Below are 21,400 nucleotides of genomic sequence, written 5' to 3' on the forward strand. Positions count from 1 at the left end.
ATTCTCATCCTGACCATGAGTTAGACAAGGAAAGAGCGTTTTCATGGGAGGAATTCAAGTGGGCTGTGGAGCAATCACTTTCTAGAGAGATTTGCTTGACTAAAAGGGAGTCAAGTGCTACTATCCAAGACAATGGGAAAAAGGGCCTCAAAAGCATTTCGGAAGTCTCTGAGGAGACAGCCCCTTCCATCACAGGCCCAGAGTCCTAGAAGGAAGGAATGGTTTTCTGAGTCAGGCCCAGGGCTCTGCTGCTGTGCATCACCTTGGGAAGCTACTCACTGCATCCCTGCTACTACAGCTCCACCTGTGGCTCAAAAGGCCCCAGATACAGCTCAGGCTGCTGCTCTAGAGGGCGCAAGCCATAAGCCTTGGCAGCTTCCACTTGGTGTTAAGGCTGCAGTTGCATACAATGGAAGAGTGAAGGAGGCTTGGCAGCCTTCACCTAGATTTCAAAGGATGTGTAGGAAAGCTTGGGTACCCAGCCAGAAGCCTGCTACAGGGGTGGAACCCTTGTAGAGAGCTTCTACTAGGGCAGCATTGAAGGGAAATTTGGGATTGGAGCTCCCACACAAGAGTTCCCACTGGGGCACTGTCTAGTGGAGCTGTGAGAATGGGACTGCCATCCTCCAGATTTGAGAATGTTAGAGCCATTGGCAACGTGCACCCTGAGCCTGGAAAAGCTGCAGGCACTCAACTCTAACCAGTGAGAGCAGTCACAGGGGTGGAGCTGCCCAAGGCTTTGGGAGCCCACCCCTTACACCAGTATGTCATGGATATGGGACACTGAATCAAGGATTTTTTTGAAACTTTAAGATTTCATATCTGCCTGCTGGGTTTTAGATTTGCATGGGATCTGTTGCCCCTTTGGGCTGATTTCTCTGAAATGGGAACCTGTACCATACAATGTTGGAAGTAAATAACTTACTTTTGATTTTACAGGCTCATAGGTAGAAGGAACTTGTCTTGAGTCTCAGATGAGACTTTGGACTTTAAGTTGATGCTGAAACAAGTTGGGACTTTTGGAGACTATTGGGAAGAGATGATTGTATTATGGAATGAAAGGACATGAAATTTGGGGTGCCAGAGACAGAATTATATGGTTTGGATATTTGTTCCCTTCAAATCTCATGTTGAAATGTGATCCCCAGTGTTGAAGGTGGGGCCTAGTGGGAGGTGTTTGTGTCATGGTAGCAGATCCCTCATGAATTACATCATGTCCTTCTCTCAGTAAAGAATGAGTGGTTGCTCTGAGTTCATGTGAGATTTGGTTGTTTAAAAGAGTGTGACACCTCCCCTGTCTCTTGCCCCTGTTCTTGGCACATGACACTCTGACTCTCCTTCACCTGCTGTCATGATTATAAAGTTCCTGAGGCCCTCAACAGAAGCAGATGCCAGCACTGTGTTTCTTGTGTAACCTGCAGAAACATGAGCCAAATAAACTTATTTTCTTTATAAATTATCCTGTTTTAGGAATTTATTTATAGCAACGTAAACAGACTAACACACCTGTCTTTTGTTACAGTAATATTGACCGTGACCCTTATAAAGGGTGAGGAAAGATATCATACCTTTTCTGCCTCTATGGCATTATTAATTATCTTGTAATAAATGTGTGATAATATTTCTTGTTTTTGGTTTTTCTCAATTTTCTCATATTAGGAGAGAAATATTGCTTATATATCTTTAATACATTCAGACTATGTCAGCTATTTTTTTGTGCTTCAAAGTACACAAGAAAAAGATTGCATCCAGAGGAAGCTGTTTCTTACGTTTCAAAAAGCTGAGCTCTAAAAATTCCTCATTACTTTTAAAAATTAATACATCACACGAAGAACAAAGATTAGGTTGCATTTGTGTCCTCTTGTGGTGCTGGATTCCATGAGATCTTGTACCCAGTGTTTTCTCAAATATGTTTCTGGGCTTGATATTTAAAATGATCATCTCTGACTATGCTTGTAAATATAAAGCAGCAGAAATTATTTTCATGGAGTAAGTTTTTCTATGTAAATTATAATACATGTAAAATGTTAACATTTTACATCAATTTCACAAATACTAGTTGGTGAAAAGGTAACTGGTAAAAATAATGCTTCTGATCCTTATACATACTTTTTATAGTACTTGAACTTTTCTAACTTATTAATAAAACAGGATATGCAGAATTTAGGCACCTTTCTCTCATCCTTTGATATTCTAATAAAAAATACCTTCTTTCCTGGAATTAGTATAATTCATTTCTCTCTGTAAAACAGTATTTTTGACAGAATGGCCTTGACACCCAGTTCATACAAATTATATGGCATTTTGCAAATTTAAAACCTAAATGTGTTAATAACTGTGCTTTTAATAACTCCAAAGTTACTTCTACCTGTGTATTTTTAGGGAGTGTTTATTCTCATGTGTTTATTTTTTATTCTGTGAACCACAATGCATCTTCTCCTATTTGTCTTCCGAGCAGAAATCAGTCCAAAGCAGGCCAAGTCCATGCCTGTGGGCTGCTTTATGTGGCTGTGCAGCTCTCTGTTGTCTGCTAGGGTGAGAGATACAGTGGGGGCTGGACCTGGAGGCATGTGTGCCTCAGTGATTTATACTTTTCTAGTCCCACTTTAAAGAAGTGCCTTGCCCATGCACAGTTGTCTGTGATGGTGAACACAGTGACAGCAAACTTAGTTGTTCATTTAACCTTTTTAACAGTAAATACCATATGAATCCAGGCCTTTTGTACCTGGATTCCGGCAGGCCTGTAGTAGTGCTGAGGAGCTTCCATAGGTATGAAAAATAAAGTGTTGCTTGTAATCCCAGCACTTTGGGAGGCCGAGGCAGGCAGATCACGAGGTCAAGAGATCAAGACCATCCTGGCCAACGTGGTGAAACCCCGTCTCTACTAAGAATACAAAAATTAGCTGGGTGTGGTGGTGCGCACCTGTAGTCCCAGCTACTTGGGAGGCTGAGGCAGGAGAATCGCTTGAACCTGGGAGGTGGAGATTGCAGTGAGCTGAGATTGTGCCACTGCACTCCAGCCTGGTGACAGAGCAAGACTCCATCTCAAAAAAAAAAAAAAAAAAAAAAGAAAAGGTAAAATAAAGTGTCATTAATTAGATTTATAACATTAGTTTTATTTTAAAAATTTATTTTTCTTTTTTAAAAGACTTTCTGAAACTCTTTGCCTCTTTTGTATTGGTAGACTTAAGGCTAGAGTTCTAGGCAGTGACTCTCAACCCTAGCTCTGCATTACAATCATTTGGGGAGCTGTTAAAAGGCTTGATGCCTGGGTTGTACCCCAGACCAATTACCTCAGAATATCTAGGGTCTGGACTGAGACATGATTCTTTCATAGTCCTTAGGTTATTCCAACATACAACTGAGATTGAGAACCACTGGTTTAGGGTGAACTATTATTTTTTCTATAGTCAACCCAAATGCCCTCATTGGCAGTTTTCATTATTCATCTCACTTAATTTTAATCTTTTTATTTTACTGGGATATTCTCTGAAGTACACTACAGTTATCTATTAGAAAGAATGGAACCCCCATTCTATTTTCTACTTCTATGAGATCAGCTTTTTTAGATTCCACATATAAGTGAGATGATGCCATATTTTCTTTCAGGAGCTGACAGTTGGGGGAGAATAGAGAGATGTTGTTCAAAGAGTCAAAGGGTTTCAGTTAGGATGAATAAATTCTGGTGATCTGTTGTACAGTATAGTGACTGTAGTTAGTAATAATGTTCCATATCCATGAAAATTGCCAAGAGTAGATACTGAATAGTCTTACCACAGAAAATGCTAAGTATGTGAGGTGATATATATGTTAATTAGCTTGATTTAATTCTTTCACAAGATATGTATATGTGTATATATGTATATATATGTGTGTGTGTATATATATGTATATATAACACAACATTACCTTGTACACTGAAGATATATATAATTTTTATTTGTCACTGGTACTTTATAAAGCCGGAAAGAGAAAGAGAATGGAAGGAACTGATGTGGACCTTTCTGACATGGACCTTTTTGGGGATGCATTTGACTATATTTTCCTACATGAATCTCAGAGATTTGAGAGCATGAATGACAATGGTGAGGGTGTAGTGGTTCTGTGGGCAGCTGGAGGTGTCTCTGTGCATATTGGGAAGTGCTGCTGGCACAGCTGGGTTTGGACTTGGGCTCTTCGAGGTAATCTCAAACTCCCTTGAGTGAATACGGAGCAACTGTAAAATGAGAGCTAGCATTGATTCCAACCCCCTTTTTTTCTCTTGTAAAGGTAACTAGCAGAAGTAGACTGTTTCTTCTACTCTCAGAACTAGTATTATAAGGTACATCTTTAAAAAATTAGAAATAGTTGTATTTCTGCTCTTCTTCAGTATTACCTTTTGTTATCATATGTGGCTTACTGAACATTTGGGGTATACTTTTGAAACAGAACTCCTTATGATAGTACCATGATTTCTATGGTGTTAAGAGTCCTTAAATTAGTAGTAATACTCAGAAGCCCATGATTAGTTAAAATGCCTTTTCAGAAAGGGGTAAATATTTTTCCTTCCATTGATTCACCTTGTAGATGACTTCTTATATAAGCTGGCTATGAAATATTATTGGCAGTACGCTGAACATTTGCAAGAAACCCTGTATCAATTGATGCAGAGGTGCTTTTTATTGCATGATTTACAAGTAAATGTTTAAGAGGGTACTTTGTTTGTTTGCATATACACACACATACACATATCTACATGATTTTTAGTTAAAATTACACTAAAATCTTGTGGCATCATTTGTCTTAATTCACACATTTTAATATTAATACTGTTAATAAACAACTTTTCGAACAGTTCCAAGCTGTTAAATTTACTTAAATAATGGGGATATTATCTTTTAGGTAGTTCTGTGGTACATGCTTTTTTTCCCCAACTAATGAGGATTTTTATATTTAAAGAAAGTAGTAGACACATAACTTTATGGCATGAATATCATGAATTTATATGTTTACTAGAACACGTCTTGGAAATAAATAGAAGTGGTGTGATGTTAGCAACCATTCTGACAATAGATATGAATAAGGAAAAGGGCAAGGCTTAGAATGCCATGCTTAATATAAAAGACTTATAGATACTAATGAATGATCATAATCAACATTTATCATCCAGTAGGTGCTCCGTGATTAATTTAGGAATGAGCATGTATAAATTAATGAAGAAAGGAACAACAAAAGGAGGCCGGGTGCGGTGGCTCATGCCTGTAATCCCAGCACTTTGGGAGGCTAAGGCAGGTGGATCACGAGGTCAGGAGATGGAGACCATCCTAGCTAACATGGTGAAACCCCGTCTCTACTAAAAATACAAAAAACTAGCCGGGTGTGGTGGTGGGCGCCTGTAGTCCCAGCTACTTGGGAGGCTGAGGCAGGAGAATGGCGTAAACCCGGGAGGCGGAGCTTGCAGTGAGCCGAGATAGGGCCACTGCATTCCAGCCTGGGCAAAAGAGTGAGACTCCATCTCAAAAAAAAAAAAAAGAAGAAGCATTATTGATGGAGCATTAGGGTTGCCGAAGATGAATTCTTGGAGACACAGTGCTTATTGGAAAGAGCACTCTTTCCAATAAGAAAAAGTGGCTTTTAGAGTCAGAAGAATCTGAATTTGAATATTAGCTCTGTCAACATTAGCTAACTTCTTTGGAGCAAGTTGCTTACCTCCATGATACACACTCTCCTGTTCTGAAAAATGAGGATGACAATGGTTTGGATATTGAGGAACTTATGGTTAAGGATTAATGAGGAATGCTTAACACACTGCTTCCTGTCACATAGGCAACAAATAAATACTAGCTTTCTTCTCCCTTGGCCTTGATAATCTGATGGTAAGTTCATTAATTCCTTAGCAGCAGAAGAACCTAAGAATTTTTTTGTTTGTTTGTTTTAAGGAATTGAGAATTTTATTGTTTAATTCTGTCTTATATAAACAACTGAATCTAGCTGTTAAGTAGATTATGTTGTGGAAAAGGGTAGGGCAAATATTTAAGAGTGTTGTGTGAGTTTTTTTCTTCCAGTGAAATTGAATGATGGGCATCATGGCCACATTCTCCAGTTTCAGTCCAGAATCAAAAGTGAAAGATCCTCAGTGTGTTATGGGTCTGCTTCTCTTAGGAATAAATTGTTCAGAAAATGTAGGAATTCAGGTGTTACTGTGTTCAGTGATTTTGTGAGTTACATTAATGGAACTTGATTTTCATTCTCGATTCCGTTTCTGTATTGTTATAAGATGCTCTAATCTGATTGCTATTCTTTTGTTCTGATTTCTCAGTTATATAATTTTCAGTGTTCTTCCCCTTCCACAATGAGCTTTGTGATTTCTGTCATCTGTTAAACATCATCTCTACTTGCCTATTTCAGGAGCCCCCGTAATAGGTTGTCTGCCATGCTTATTGCCTCTACAGTTTTTTTTTCTGTCACAGTTAAGATCATGTCTTAAGTGTTCCCATCATTTAGCTCCTACTTATAAGTAAGAATATGTGGTATTTGGTTTTCTGTTTCTGTGTTAGTTTGCTAAGGATAATGGCCTCCAGCTCTATCTATGTCCCTACAAAAGACATGATCTCATTCTTTTGTATGGCTACATAGTAGTCCATGTTGTATATGTACCACATTTTCTTTATCTAGTTTATAATTGAGGGGCATTTAGATTGATTCTATGTCTTTGCTATTGTGATGAAATTGTCTGTACAACACACTCCATGACACAAGTTTACCTATGTAACACTTAAAAATTTAAAAAAAAAACAAAACAGAAAAGTAAAGCAAACAACACCATAGTCTATAAAATGTCAATTCTTTTTATTATACTTTGAGAATTGACTCTGAACTATTTTTATTATTTCTTTATAACATGAATGTCTGAAACAATACTATCTCATTTGGGAGGTTTTCCATAAATTTCACACATTGTAATATCATTTACTTCTTTCTTTAACAGTTTATGGTTGTCACTGTGAAAAACAACATTTCCACAAATTTAGTTTCAAAGATCTAATTGGCATTTTATTTGCAGTTCATAAACTAGGTAGCATCTAGTCTATAAAATAAAAAGGAGCTTCAATGAATTAAAATCATATCTTAAACAGTGAAGACCACGTTTTAAACAGTGAATGGATTTACGTGATTTAGGAGCTGATTCCATTCAAGGCGCTCTCTATTGTGCACCCAGAATTTCTTTTCAGCCCCATATCCCTATCTGTGCATTACCTCTGCTCCAGCTCTACTTTCTCCACACCATTGCTTGGTGCCCCTGCCTCTGTGCCCTCATCTGTGCTTCTTCCTGGTGTGAAAGACTGCCCCCCATCCCAATAAATGCTCCATGATCTCTCAACACTCATGCAATATCAAGTATTTTTTGCCCTTCCCTAGTTTGAACTAATTTGTCTGTGACCCTCTAGCGTATCACCTGGACCTGTGTTTGACAGAAATGCCTTTTTGCCTTGCAGTAGAGTCAGTTGTTGCCCTGCGTTTCCTGAGTTCTCTGATGGGAGGAAGCCATGCCTTATTTATCACTTGAGTCCTTTTAGTCTTATTTCAGTGCCCTTCCATTGCAACACCTAACATGGGTTTGATGAATTAAACAGAATACAGTATGAGTTGTGTGAAATCATTTATTCTGGTGAGGCGAATCTATTTAGTTTGGTTTATTCTCTTCTGGAAAAAAAATGTGTGTTAATTTTATGTTTTAATGGTAAGAGATTATTCTGCTCTCTTGGTTAAGTGTATTTAATTTCCTAGACCACTGATTTTGTAGTGAGTGATGGATGAACGATAATACTAAAGCTATGATGTTTTACTAGTTTTTAACTAGTTATAAAAACCAGAAAACCCCTGAGAATGGACTTTATTTTCAGGACCAACACAATAGTAAAAATCAGTGGAAATGAGTTCTGTTTGATTAAGGTATCTACAGAAAATTGACTTTGAGCTCTCCTTTTTACTAATCATAAGAATATATTAGGTTGGTGCCAAAGTAATTATAGTTTTATCGTTTTAATCATATTTGACAGGGTAATGATTGACCAGTGAGCTTTTTTTGGCTGTGCTTCTTTTTCAGAATTAGGCATATTTTTGTTTTGTCTTCCTATGCTAGATAATAGACTCTGCAGAATCAAGCATATGGCTTTTGGCCATATCCCTAATGTACTTACAGAGTTCTCATTTGGGCTTTACTGGCAGATAGACTATACTTAAAAAGAGTGTTAGCTATGGAATCACGTATGTCTCCAAACTTCAGTGTGTGAATAATTCTTGTCTTCATAACAAGCCTATAGTTAGTTCATATACTTAACGTCACGTGATGAGTTATTATGTCATGCTTCAAATATTTTATTCAATGGCGAAATGAAAGGCATTTAATTTCTTGGTTGAAAATTGGCCGGTTACAATTTTTTTTTCTATTTCTCGGTTGTCTGGTTTGATATATTTTTACACAGTTTTGTGAGCTTTTAAGAAAAGAGTAATTTATGTGATTCCACAGTGACATAATCTTTTCACCTCTGAACTTTTGTAATACGTTTTTAAAGAATATTGTTATAAGATTCTTTTAGCAGAAATTTCTGAGCACTCACCTTGTGCCTGGCACCATGCTAAGTGCTTGCAATACACTGGCAAAACAGATATGGCACTTTCTCTTTGGAGTTTACAGTCAAAGGCAGAAAACAGATGGTTAACGTATATTAACAGGTTTCATGGGAGCCAATTACAGGGGAATCAGATCAGATATAGACTATCAGAGATGGCCTTCTTGAAGAGAAGCATTTAAATTAAAATCTGAAGATTGAACATTAGTCAATCAGGATAGCTGAGTTTTGAGAGGTAAGAGAATATTCTGGATAAAAGAAATACCACAAGGTGTGGAAGTGAATATGGTTAGAGGAGTTATTCTCAAACTTGGCTGCACATTAGAATTACCTGTGTGCTTGAAAAAAATGCAGTTTTTATTGAGGTATTGTCAGCAGATGAGTGACACAATAAGATTTGCAATTGAAAAGACCACCCACTGGGCTCCATCATGAGACACATTGGCAAGGGGTGAGGCTGAATGTGTGGAGTCCAGTTAAGAATTCATTGCCCTGGGATTGGCAAAAAAGGGGAGTAACTTGGGCAAGGGTAGTATCAGTCGGGATGGTGAACAATGGTGAGAATAAAAGTTGGCAAAAGGTAAGTAGAAAAGGTGAATTAGGTAGGATAATTTTGGGAAAGGTAATATCATATAAACCAAGTGAAGAGAATGTATATTTTTAAAATTTTATTTTACTTTATTTTTCTGGAACAGAAAACCAAACACTGCATGTTGTCATGTGGAAGTTGAACAAGGAGAATATTTTCAGAATGAGGAAACAGATGAGATGTCAAGCAAGGTAGAAAATGATGACTGTCCATTTAAGTGACCAGGAGGTCACTTGCTTACTCACAGCTTTGTTGAAAGAAGTAGCATATTGTAGGGGTGGGTTGCCCCTACACACCTGTGGGTGTTTCTCGTAAGGTGGGACGAGAGATTTGGAAAAGAAAAAGACACAGAGACAAAGTATAGAGAAAGAAATAAGGGGACCCGGGGAACCAGCGTTCAGCATATGGAGGATCCCGCCAGCCTCTGAGTTCCCTTCGTATTTATTGATCATCTGTGGGTGTTTCTCAAAGAGGGGGATGTGTCAGGGTCACAAGACAATTGTGGGGAGAGGGTCAGCAGACAAACACGTGAACAAAGGTCTTGGCATCATAGACAATGTAAAGGATTAAGTGCTGTGCTTTTAGATATGCATACACATAAACATCTCAGTGCTTTACAAAGCAGTATTGCTGCCCGCAGGTCCCACCTCCAGCCCTAAGGCGGTTTTTCCCTATCTCAGTAGATGGAGCATACAATCAGGTTTTATACCGAGACATTCCATTGCCCAGGGACAGGCAGGAGACAGATGCCTTCCTCTTGTCTCAACTGCAAGAGGCATTCCTTCCTCTTTTACTAATCCTCCTCAGCACAGACCCTTTACGGGTGTCGGGCTGGGGGACGGTCAGGTCTTTCCCTTCCCACGAGGCCATATTTCAGACTATCACATGGGGAGAAACCTTGGACAATACCTGGCTTTCCTAGGCAGAGGTCCCTGCGGCCTTCCGCAGTTTTTGTGTCCCTGGGTACTTGAGATTAGGGAGTGGTGATGACTCTTAAGGAGCATGCTGCCTTCAAGCATCTGTTTAACAAAGCACATCCTGCACCGCCCTTAATCCATTTAACTCTGAGTTGACACAGCACACATTTCAGAGAGCACGGGGTTGGGGGTAAGGTCACAGAATCTCAAGGCAGAAGAATTTTTCTTAGTACATAACAAAATGGAGTCTCCTATGTCTACTTCTTTCTACACAGACACAGTAACAATCTGATCTCTCTTGCTTTTCCCCACATTTCCCCCTTTTCTTTTCGACAAAACCGCCATCGTCATCATGGCCCGTTCTCGATGGTCGCTGTCTCTTCGGAGCTGTTGGGTACACCTGCAGACTAACAACAGACAAAACAGGCACACAAGGATTAATATGAGATTTATAATCGTAGTACTTCCAATGGTCTTAACCCAAGTGACAGGGTTAAGATTTGCGAGGCCATCAGCAACTCCTGCAATTGCCTCAGTTCCTGGCACCAAATTTAAATGGGCTTTTGATGCTTCGAAAATTTGTTCTTTTAATTTGGAAATGTCTAAAGTGAGATTATCTTCTCTTCCCTGTAGATGGCGTCTAACCATGTCCCAGTGATGCTCAGACTCATTATAAATTTGGGGTGTAATACAAAAATCTGACGTATTCCAGTCACATTGTAACTGGAAACGATGTTCTAAGCTCATGAGTCTGTCTCCCATCCAAATGACAGTTTGTCTAAGATCATTAATTTGATTTGCCAATTTTTGATCAATACTAGATTGTGAATTCCACAATCTTGTAGAATTTTTTTGCCCATCATTAACAAAGTTTACTGACTGAACAGAAGAGTGCAATGCAACTCCTGCTACAGCAGCCGTAGCTGTGACTGCAATTAATCCCATAATCACTGCAATTAAAGTAAAAATGAATCTTTTGGATCTATTTAAAACACCTTTTAATACTTCAGTCAAAATATGGATGGATGGTGAGGCCTCCCATGGTCGGTCCATGGACACAGGGATCCACACGCCCTCTCTTGCTCTCACCAGCAGAATACGGTGTTGCCAATTAAAAGTTGAATCAATGCAAGTAAGCAATCTACAATTTTCACAGGTTATAGTCTGGGAGTCTGGTTTAATAACTATATTTCCTACAACTAGCATATAAGGGGGCTTTACGCAACTTTGTAAAGGAAGTGTTAGACTGGAATTTAGGTCGACAGTATAAAATGGCTTACGATCTCTTGTTTCTAAAGTTTGATTTCCAGACCAAATTCTAATGTGGTGTGAGGCCACAGTAAGCCTCCATAATTCTGGATGTTCAGGACCAGAAACAGGACTTATTATTTTTGGTCTTGGGGTAGAGATTCCTTTTTCTCCCCATTCCCAAGGGTAGAAAGACTGCAATTTTTTATGCTTATGTTTGTCTAAACTTTCTGTTAAGTCGCTATCAACAGCTGGACTCACTTGTGCACTTGGACACGACTGAGTTTGTCCTGAGCAATTGTGGTAGAATTGACCTTGAGGTGTCCAATCTATAATAGTTCCAAATTCATTGTTTTGTAATATCACCGCACTATTGGCCACACATTCTTCCCAAACTAAAACTTCTGTATTTTTTGATTCTTTGGGAATTTCCTTGGGGCAAGGTTTCCCTTTAGGTCTAAATTTTAGTGATCTTTGATAAGAAAAGTCTTGTAAATAATTTACCCGTGGCCTGAGTGACATCCCGCTTACCATGTGATAAGTGAATCTACAGATGGGACTGACAATAGGTACTTCTACCAACCAATTTTGGACTGCAGGCATTAAACATCCTGGTGCTCTCCCTAGGCAAATAGGATAACGATACCCAATGGAAATATTTATCATCATCCCTTCTTCCTCAGGTTTGGCAGGGCAGCGATCATCTATGGGGCCAGGTACCCATACACTATCATTAACATATACTTCTATAGGATTATCCATCCATGTGACTGCCCGAATTAAGGGCGGGAAAGGCACATAGGCCCAGTTGGTATAGTTAGCTGCAGCTGCTCCTGCAGGCATAGGGAGACTTACCACCATTGATACAATCATCAAGGCTGCAAGCAGCATACTCTCTGGGGTTTGTGTCACCTTTGTGTTCTCTAGATATTTTGTAGCTAACTGCGTCAGCTTCTTTAGTTGTGCCCAAGTCGGCGGCTCTGCCTTCTTGGTGGATGGCAACTTCATCTGTTCTTCTGACGTCACCATTTTGTTCATCTTGTGAGTCAACGGTGCTCGATTGCGGTGTCTCCGTCTCCGCGGAGGTGCTTTTCTTTGCATCTCTGATGGGTTCATTGTAGAACTTCAAAGGTCTAGTGGGTATCCAAACAGGAAGCTGATTTTCTCCTGGTGAAACACAAGCAAAACCTCTCCCCCACGTTATCACCTTCCCTATTTCCCATGTCTTATTTTTATTATCTTTCCACCAAATTAGTTTTCCTTCATGTGGGCTGTTCTTTTTACCAGTAAGATGTTGTTCTGCAGAAGTAGTAGTCTGATTTCTATAAATGTTTAAAAAATTTAAAGTATAGAGTGCTAGATTAAGTTGCATCTGAGGAGTGGTACACTCCTTACTGTCTCCCCCTTCTTTTTGTTTAACTAATTGAGTTTTGAGTGTTCTATTAGTTCTTTCAACTATGGCCTGTCCTTGGGAATTATAAGGAATTCCTGTTGTATGTGAAATTTTCCACTGACTTAAGAATTTTTGGAAAGCTTTACTACAATATCCTGGTCCATTGTCAGTTTTGATTTTTTCTGGAACTCCCATTACAGCAAAACAAGACAATAAATGTTTTTTAACATGGGAAGTACTTTCTCCTGTTTGGCAAGTTGCCCATATGAAATGTGAATAAGTATCAACTGTTACATGAACATATGATAATCTTCCAAATGAAGGTACATGCGTGACACAGACCTCTGGGATTAACTCCTGCCTCTTGAGTGGGCAGGTGTAAGACTTGACACTGGGTGCAATGTTGTACAATATCTTTTGCCTGTTTCCATGTGACATCAAATTTGTTTTTTAATCCTGCTGCATTTACATGAGTCAAAGCATGAAGTTCTTGTGCTTTTATGAGTGCAGATGATACCAGTAAGTCAGCTTGTTCATTTGCTTTAGTCAAAGGCCCTGGTAAATTAGTGTGTGCTCGAATATGAGTAATATAAAATGGGAAATTTCTTTTTCTTACAGTTTGTTGTAATAAATTGAATAGCTGGTTTAACTGATCATCCATGCTATATTTAATTAGAGCTGTCTCAACATCCCTTGTAGCCTGTACTACATATGCAGAATCTGATATAATATTGATAGGTTGGTCAAAATCTTGTAACACTGTAATGACTGCAACCAACTCTGCTCTTTGAGCCGATTGATATGGAGTTTTGATTACTCGTTCTTTCGGCCCTGTGTAAGCTGCTTTTCCATTGCTGGAACCATCAGTAAATACTGTTAGAGCATTTTCTAAAGGTTCACGTCTGGTAATTTTAGGTAGAATCCAAGTAGTCAATTTTAAGAACTGGAAGATCTTTGTTTTTGGGTAATGATTATCAATAATTCCCACAAAATTAGCAAGACCAATCTTCCATGCACCAGAATTGATAAAGGCTTGTCTAACTTGTTCCTTGGTTAAAGGGACAACTATTTTGTCTGGGTCATTTCCACATAATTTTATTATTCGTAATCTTGTCTGACCGATTAATGTAGCTATTTGATCCAAGTACAGTGTAAAAGTCTTAACTGTACTGTGAGGAAGGAATGACCACTCCACAAGATCAGTATTTTGAATAATGATGCCTGTTGGAGAATGTGCAGTGGCAAAAATCAAAAGTTGGAGTGGGGCTAAGGGATCTATTCTATTTATTTGCGCTGACTGAATTTTTTCTTCCACTAATTTAATTTCTTTTGTTGCCTCTGGGGTTAACATTCTTTTACTATTTAAGTCTGAGTCTCCTCTTAAGATAGAGAACAAATTTGACATGGCATAAGTAGGAATGCCTAGAGTTGGCCAAATCCAATTAATATCTCCTAGTAATTTTTGAAAATCATTTAGTGTTTTTAATGTGTCTTTTCTTATTTCTATTTTTTGTGGCTTAATTTTTCTATTTTCTATCTGCATCCCTAAATAATGAAAAGGAGTAGAGGTTTGGATCTTATCAGATGCTATTGCCAGTCCAGCATTGGCAACCTCTGCTTGCAGAAATGTATAACAGTCAATTAATTTATCTTTCGTTTCTGCAGCACATAAAATATCATCAATATAATGAATAATATAACAGTCTGAAAACTTTAACTGGTTGAAGAGCTCGACCTACAAAAGTCTGACAAATAGTTGGACTATTAAGCATTCCCTGAGGTAACACTTTCCACTGAAACCTGGTGGCTGGTTCTTTATTATTTATGGCTGGTATAGTAAAGGCAAATTTTTCACAATCCTGCTCTGCCAGAGGGATGGTAAAAAAGCAATCCTTTAGATCAATTATAATTAAAGGCCAATCTTTTGGGATCATGGCCGGAGAGGGCAACCCGGGTTGGAGAGGCCCCATGGGTTGAATTACGGCGTTTACAGCCCTTAAGTCAGTTAACATACGCCATTTGCCTGATTTCTTCTGAATTACAAACACAGGAGAATTCCAAGGTGAGAACGAAGGCTCAATATGACCCTTTTCTAACTGTTCATTTGCTAATAAATGTAAAGCCTCCAGTTTTTGTTTTGGTAGCGGCCACTGATTTACCCACACCGGTTTTTCTGTTTTCCAAGTTAATGGTATGGGTTTAGGAGGCTCTATAGTGGCCGCCCCTAAAAAGGATACCCTATTCCTTCTCTTTTTTGATTTATTTTAGCCTCAAATGGAATTTTAATGCCATCTTCATTTTTCCCTAGTCCCTTTCCTGGTATATATCCCCTCTTGGTCATGATTTTTTGACTCGTGGGGCTATATAATGGAGCGGGCATGGTGATTTCCGCACCCCATTGTTGTAATAAATCTCGACCCCACAGATTAAGAGGAATTGAAGTAATCATTGGCTGAACAGTACTTTCTTGATTATCTGGCCCTAAGCAATGTAAAATCTCCATACTTTGATACACTTCTGAGGCTGTGCCTATGCCGACAAGTCCTGTAACAGCCTTTTGTTTAGGCCAATTTTTTGGCCACTGATTTAAAGCAATGATAGAGACATCTGCTCCAGTGTCTACCAACCCTTCAAACTGTTTTCCTTGAATAATGGCCTTACACACAGGTCTGTTCTCTGAGACCTGACTTGCCCAATATGCAGCCTTTCCTGTTGGATCAGTGCTTCCAAGCCCTCCTATTCTTTTTATTTCACTATTTCCACCCTTAATATATGGCAGGAGTAATAATTGAGCAATCCTGTCTCCTGGACTGGCACTCCAAGGAACTGAAGAGCTAATAACCAACTGAATTTCGCCTTTATAGTCTGAATCAACCACACTAGTATGAATTTGAACTCCTTTTAGATTTAGACTTGATCTTCCCAAGATTAGTCCTACAGTCCCCTCAGGCAGGGGGCCATATACCCCTGTAGGGATTTTTTGTGGGGGCTCCCCTGGAAGCAGAGAGACTGCTTGTATAGTACATAAATCTACTGCTGCACTGCCACTTGTGGCGGGGGACAATTGTTGTATTGTGGTAACTGGCTTATTCCCTGAAACACTTGGGACAGTGGGGGTTGTTGTCCCTGAAAACCCTGAGGAACAAATGGCTGAATTGGGAATGCCCCAGTTTGTTGTGGGGCCTGAGGCTGGCCCCTTTGCTCGTTTCCCGACAATGGTTGCCCATTTTTATCAAATTTAGAACGACATTGACTAGCCCAATGTTTTCCTTTTTTACATCTTGGACATAAGTCAGGTGGCTCTCTACCTGTTGTAGTTGCTTGAATAGTTATATTCTGTTTGTTTAAGACTGGGCAATTCTTTTTTAAGTGACCAATTTGACCACAATTATAACATTTTCCTCCAAATGTTCTAACTTGTCCTCCTAAAACAACTCCTGTTATTGCTTGAGCCATAAGCATAGCTTTATGCATAGCTCCTCCGATTCCATCACAGGCTTTTACATATTCTGAGATTACATCTGATCCTGCAGGAACCTTTCCTTTTAATGGCTTAATGGCTGATTGACACTCAGGATTGGCGTTTTCATATGCCATCAACTCCACTATGACCTTACGGGCTTTTTCATCGGCAATTGACTTTTGAGCAACATCTTGGAGCCTTGCCACAAAATCAGGATAGGGCTCTTTTGAACCTTGTCTTACTGTATTAAATGAGGGGCAGGTACTTCCTGGGTCTTGGATTTTTTCCCAGGCTCTAAGGCAGATAGCTCTAACTTGCTCAATGGCCTCATTTTGCATTAATGCTTGTTGACTAATAGTACTCCAATTTTGACCTATTCCTAATAGTTGATCTGCATCTATGTTAACTGGAGGATTGGCAGCCCTATTTCTTCGGACCTGTTCTTGTACCCCATCAATCCACCAAGTCTTAAATTGTAAAAATTGAGAGGGTGAGAGAGACGATTTTGCCAGAATCTCCCAATCATAAGGAATGAGTCTATGTCCATGAGCAATGGAATCTAATAATGTCCTCATATAAGGGGAGTTGGGTCCATACTGTTTTACTCCCTCTTTCATATCTTTTAGTATTTTTATCGAAAAAGACTTGTATCTGGCCTCAACTGTGGGAGGCTCTCCCTCTTGGGCTCCTTCTCCAGGTGGCATCGGTTCTAACGTTACTGGGAATTGCCATGCCTCAGTATCTCCTTCCTTTCTTGATTTATCAATAATTTCATGTAATTCACTACCCTGTCTACTAGGTGGTGCCGTAGGATTAAGTCTCCTAGTGGGCGGCTGAGGGTATGGCGCCCTGCCCTGTGGTGCTGGGGGCATTCCTGGATATCCATACTGACTTTCTGGGGGTGGCCGATACTGAAGTTCAGCCGGAGGCCAGTATTGATAGGCTACTGGCGGTTGGGTCTTATTTTCTTTAACCTGCTTTTGAGGTTGTAATGTTACAGGCACCTGACCTGCTGGAAGAGGACTTGTGCCTCGTGGTTTAGACTCTGATGGCCCCACTAATTCTGGACCTTTTCCTTCTAATTTTAACGTTTCAGGATATATCACCTCCTGTAATTGATTATAGTCAACATTTTGCGTTGACTGAGCCATTACCGGCTCTGCTACATATTCGCAATGTAAACTTTCGGTTTCTTTCTGGGATTTTTTCCTTGTCTTTTCATTACAATCTATTATACCGCTTCCAGGGGCATCAGAAACTGAAATACTATCTTCTTCTGTTTGAAATGGTTCTAAAGCTGCTTTAATAATGGCCCAATCATTCCATACTGTAAGTGGAATGATATTACCCTTCCTACCTGCTTGTTTTAGTTCCTTACCAATTCTTTTCCAATCTTTTAGATCTAAAGTTCCTTGTTCTGGAAACCATGGGCAAAATTGTTCTATTATTTGAAATAGCTTGATTAGATTTTTTGTAGATACTTTAACTCCCCCTCTTTTTAAAAGAATTTTAATAAAGCTGAGATAAGAGGCATATTTACTTTTAATTTTACTTTTAGTTTGCCCCATTATCACCCTAGCTTCTTCCGAGCGCACAAGCTTACCGTAAGGCTGACTGTAGACGTACTCGGGATCTCTCGTCGACTTGTCCTCAATGACCACGCTCGAGCGTACCTTCACCCTAGAGAAAAGCCTCCACGTTGGGCACCAGATGTAGGGGTGGGTTGCCCCTACACACCTGTGGGTGTTTCTCGTAAGGTGGGACGAGAGATTTGGAAAAGAAAAAGACACAGAGACAAAGTATAGAGAAAGAAATAAGGGGACCCGGGGAACCAGCGTTCAGCATATGGAGGATCCCGCCAGCCTCTGAGTTCCCTTCGTATTTATTGATCATCTGTGGGTGTTTCTCAAAGAGGGGGATGTGTCAGGGTCACAAGACAATTGTGGGGAGAGGGTCAGCAGACAAACATGTGAACAAAGGTCTTGGCATCATAGACAATGTAAAGGATTAAGTGCTGTGCTTTTAGATATGCATACACATAAACATCTCAGTGCTTTACAAAGCAGTATTGCTGCCCGCAGGTCCCACCTCCAGCCCTAAGGCGGTTTTTCCCTATCTCAGTAGATGGAGCATACAATCGGGTTTTATACCGAGACATTCCATTGCCCAGGGACAGGCAGGAGACAGATGCCTTCCTCTTGTCTCAACTGCAAGAGGCATTCCTTCCTCTTTTACTAATCCTCCTCAGCACAGACCCTTTACGGGTGTCAGGCTGGGGGACGGTCAGGTCTTTCCCTTCCCACGAGGCCATATTTCAGACTATCACATGGGGAGAAACCTTGGACAATACCTGGCTTTCCTAGGCAGAGGTCCCTGCGGCCTTCCGCAGTTTTTGTGTCCCTGGGTACTTGAGATTAGGGAGTGGTGATGACTCTTAAGGAGCATGCTGCCTTCAAGCATCTGTTTAACAAAGCACATCCTGCACCGCCCTTAATCCATTTAACTCTGAGTTGACACAGCACACATTTCAGAGAGCACGGGGTTGGGGGTAAGGTCACAGAATCTCAAGGCAGAAGAATTTTTCTTAGTACATAACAAAATGGAGTCTCCTATGTCTACTTCTTTCTACACAGACACAGTAACAATCTGATCTCTCTTGCTTTTCCCCACAGCATATATATGTGGAAGATCCAAACACCTGAGACTGGCAGTGAGTGTCATAGAATATTAATGGAAAGAAAACTGCGGGCATGTGGTTAGGGATTTTCAGAGAAGAGACAGCATGTGAACAAGGAAGCGTAGAGCATCAATAAGCAGGGGTTTCTACAACCCAGGAAGGGAAGAACATCCTGAGGTTTGGATTTAGTATGTCCAGGGCACAAAATATGATTGTTCTTATGAGGTTTGCCCTAAGACATTAAACAGAGGGGAGACATTAAAGGACCGTGTAATAGGCCTGGTGTAAAATCTACACCAGTTGTGTGTGGGATGTAGGAGAGAGGAAGGAACTAAAACAGGAAAATCTGCTAGGAGAAGATAGGTGTATTCTAAGCATGATGAGAAGAGAATGGACTAGGATGCTAGCAAGGCTAAAGGGTAAAGATTTCAGTGTGGTGCATTTTGTAACAGACAAAAATAAGCTTATTTAATAACTGACTAGCTGTAGGAGAGAATAAAAAGGAGTGCTCAAAAGGGATTCAAGATTTTGAAATTGGTGCTTTAAATAAATAACGTTTTATCCAACAATGATGTATGTATATGCTATTTAATTACTTTGTTCTTTATAAGGACTAAAGATACTCTTGGGAGGGAAGGGGGACATGTGTTTAATAAGCCAACAATTACAATTTTTTTTGGTACCTGCAAGATCCATTGTTAGATTTCTCTTGGGGTGATACCTCCACAAAAACGGGAGAGGGTCTCTCAGATGTGAGTGGTGATTCTGGACCCTCCAGGGTTAGTGAAGGTCAGAACAGAGTCCACCTACTTGGATCAACAGAATTTATGGGTATTCCTGGCACCCTGGGGGAAAAGGAGGTAAATGCATCAAGACCTTGAAAGGCACTAGTAGGATGACTGATGCATATTATGGCCTATATTATAATCTTCAGCGCTTTGGAGAAACACTATCATTTGTCCTCAGAAGTGAAGATTAAAGGGGATTTTATGAATGTTTTATGTATCCTAGGACTATGAGATTATTTCCTTGGCAAAGGCTAAGTTATTTGAAGATATATGTTTAGCATTTACCAGGGACAGTCTGAACTATTGATTCCAAAATAAATAAGAAGAAGGTGTTGGAAGACAGTATTGCCCACTGTGATCATATTTCATGTAATACTAGCAAAATATAGTAATCACTGTGATTTTCTGAAGTTTGTGCTTTCTTGTCCTCTGTTTCATAGAAAGCAATTTCTTTGGTATCTGTGATTGTCAGTAAGGTTTTAGAAAATAAATTATTTGATTCTGGTCTTTCACAGTGAAGTTTTTGATAGCTTTTAAACAAAGCCTACATTTCATGGACAGGTTTTGATGTGTCAGATGTAAAAACATTAAATGAAATCTTGAAACCAGAATCCATAAACCATAAGCCTATATAAGGCCCACTTTAAAAAATGTTCTGGTCACAGTAAGGCCTTACCCCTGGAGAAGCAGCTCAGACTTGGAGCATCCTCGCAGGAGTTTCCTGATTGAAATCTCTGTCTCTTTGATCGTAACAGATGTACATTAGTTAGAGAAAAACATGCTTGACTCTCTATCAGACTAATCAATGCCCACATACAGGCAGAGACTGTAATTGTAAGATTTATAAGTTGCACAGTACCTAGTAAGACGAATGTGGTTGAGAGAGTGAAGGTGAAAGGTGAAAGAATTGGAAGGTGAATTAAAATTGCAGACTTGTTGTGCTTGTTCAGGTGTGATATAGTAAACATTCAATTTAGATAGATGTTTATTGGTTGGATGATTATATAGGTAACTGAAAGTTAAAAAAATATTTTTCAATACAATAATGAAGATGTTCTAAAATAGCCAAAATAATTAATAGGTACTTAAATGTATTACACTAGCTTAGTTCTAAAGATTGTAAAAGAAGAAAAAGTCTGCTTACTACTCATTAGGAGCTTATGATATAGTTAGAAAGGTATGAGCTCCTAAAGTAGTCATGTATAAAGATACTACACATCATGCATATAGTTTTTTCTTGGGTTATATGCATGTTCATTTGTTCATTGATTGATTCATTTCTTTATTCAGCCAAAACACTTTGATTTCTGGAAGTCTACCAGGAACAAGACAAAAGTAATACAATTTATATTAGCATGGAGGATGTAGACATTAAAAAGTAAACCTGTAAGCAAGAAAACTGAATGTTAAAAGCTGTGAACAAAATAAGCCAGATTGAAGTGATGGAGTACCTGGAGATAGAGCAGGGCCACTAATTTAGACTGGATCGTCAGGAAGCCTTTATTCAGAAGGGAATGTTTGAGTTGACTCCTGAAGGAGTGGAGCCATCCAGATTGGTTTGAGGCAGAAAGTTCAGTGAGCAGAAACAGCCAGTGTGGCTGTGGAGCAGAGCAAGTAAGGAATAGAGGGTGAGTGATGAGGCCAGAGAGGAGACAGAGGAAACACCTGTTCCAGTGGGTAGGACTTTCAATACAGTGGGAATTCTTTGGTGAA

At 39.5% G+C, this 21,400-nt stretch overlaps 1 protein-coding gene across 4 annotated transcripts in view, besides 5 other annotated features; it reads left to right on the forward strand.

The window, feature by feature from the left end:
* MEI4 (meiotic double-stranded break formation protein 4) overlaps positions 1-21,400 on the forward strand; it is a 276,772-nt gene that overhangs the window by 57,200 nt on the left and 198,172 nt on the right. The window contains exon 1 of one of the 4 annotated variants that reach the window (XM_005248774.5): positions 9,335-9,392. The exons of the other annotated variants lie outside the window; for them this stretch is intronic. The gene's annotated coding sequence lies outside the window, so the exon portion shown is untranslated. Of the gene's footprint in view, positions 1-9,334; positions 9,393-21,400 lie in introns of those variants that run through there. 4 annotated transcript variants of the gene reach the window in all.
* Positions 8,782-9,510: an enhancer, noted in NCBI's record as "OCT4-NANOG-H3K27ac hESC enhancer chr6:78425972-78426700 (GRCh37/hg19 assembly coordinates)". NCBI's record gives its function as "activates a minimal SCP1, AML or CMV promoter by ChIP-STARR-seq in primed H9 embryonic stem cells {active_cell/tissue: H9 hESC(primed)}" and the evidence as "EXISTENCE:reporter gene assay evidence [ECO:0000049][PMID:30033119]".
* Positions 9,511-10,237: an enhancer, noted in NCBI's record as "OCT4-NANOG-H3K27ac hESC enhancer chr6:78426701-78427427 (GRCh37/hg19 assembly coordinates)". NCBI's record gives its function as "activates a minimal SCP1, AML or CMV promoter by ChIP-STARR-seq in naive H9 embryonic stem cells {active_cell/tissue: H9 hESC(naive)}" and the evidence as "EXISTENCE:reporter gene assay evidence [ECO:0000049][PMID:30033119]".
* Positions 10,238-10,965: an enhancer, noted in NCBI's record as "NANOG-H3K27ac hESC enhancer chr6:78427428-78428155 (GRCh37/hg19 assembly coordinates)". NCBI's record gives its function as "activates a minimal SCP1, AML or CMV promoter by ChIP-STARR-seq in naive H9 embryonic stem cells {active_cell/tissue: H9 hESC(naive)}" and the evidence as "EXISTENCE:reporter gene assay evidence [ECO:0000049][PMID:30033119]".
* Positions 18,149-18,858: an enhancer, noted in NCBI's record as "OCT4-NANOG-H3K27ac hESC enhancer chr6:78435339-78436048 (GRCh37/hg19 assembly coordinates)". NCBI's record gives its function as "activates a minimal SCP1, AML or CMV promoter by ChIP-STARR-seq in naive H9 embryonic stem cells {active_cell/tissue: H9 hESC(naive)}" and the evidence as "EXISTENCE:reporter gene assay evidence [ECO:0000049][PMID:30033119]".
* Positions 18,859-19,569: an enhancer, noted in NCBI's record as "OCT4-NANOG-H3K27ac hESC enhancer chr6:78436049-78436759 (GRCh37/hg19 assembly coordinates)". NCBI's record gives its function as "activates a minimal SCP1, AML or CMV promoter by ChIP-STARR-seq in naive H9 embryonic stem cells {active_cell/tissue: H9 hESC(naive)}" and the evidence as "EXISTENCE:reporter gene assay evidence [ECO:0000049][PMID:30033119]".

The sequence above is a fragment of the Homo sapiens genome, chromosome 6, assembly GCF_000001405.40.
Source record: "Homo sapiens chromosome 6, GRCh38.p14 Primary Assembly".
NCBI classification, from domain to species: Eukaryota; Metazoa; Chordata; class Mammalia; order Primates; family Hominidae; genus Homo; species Homo sapiens.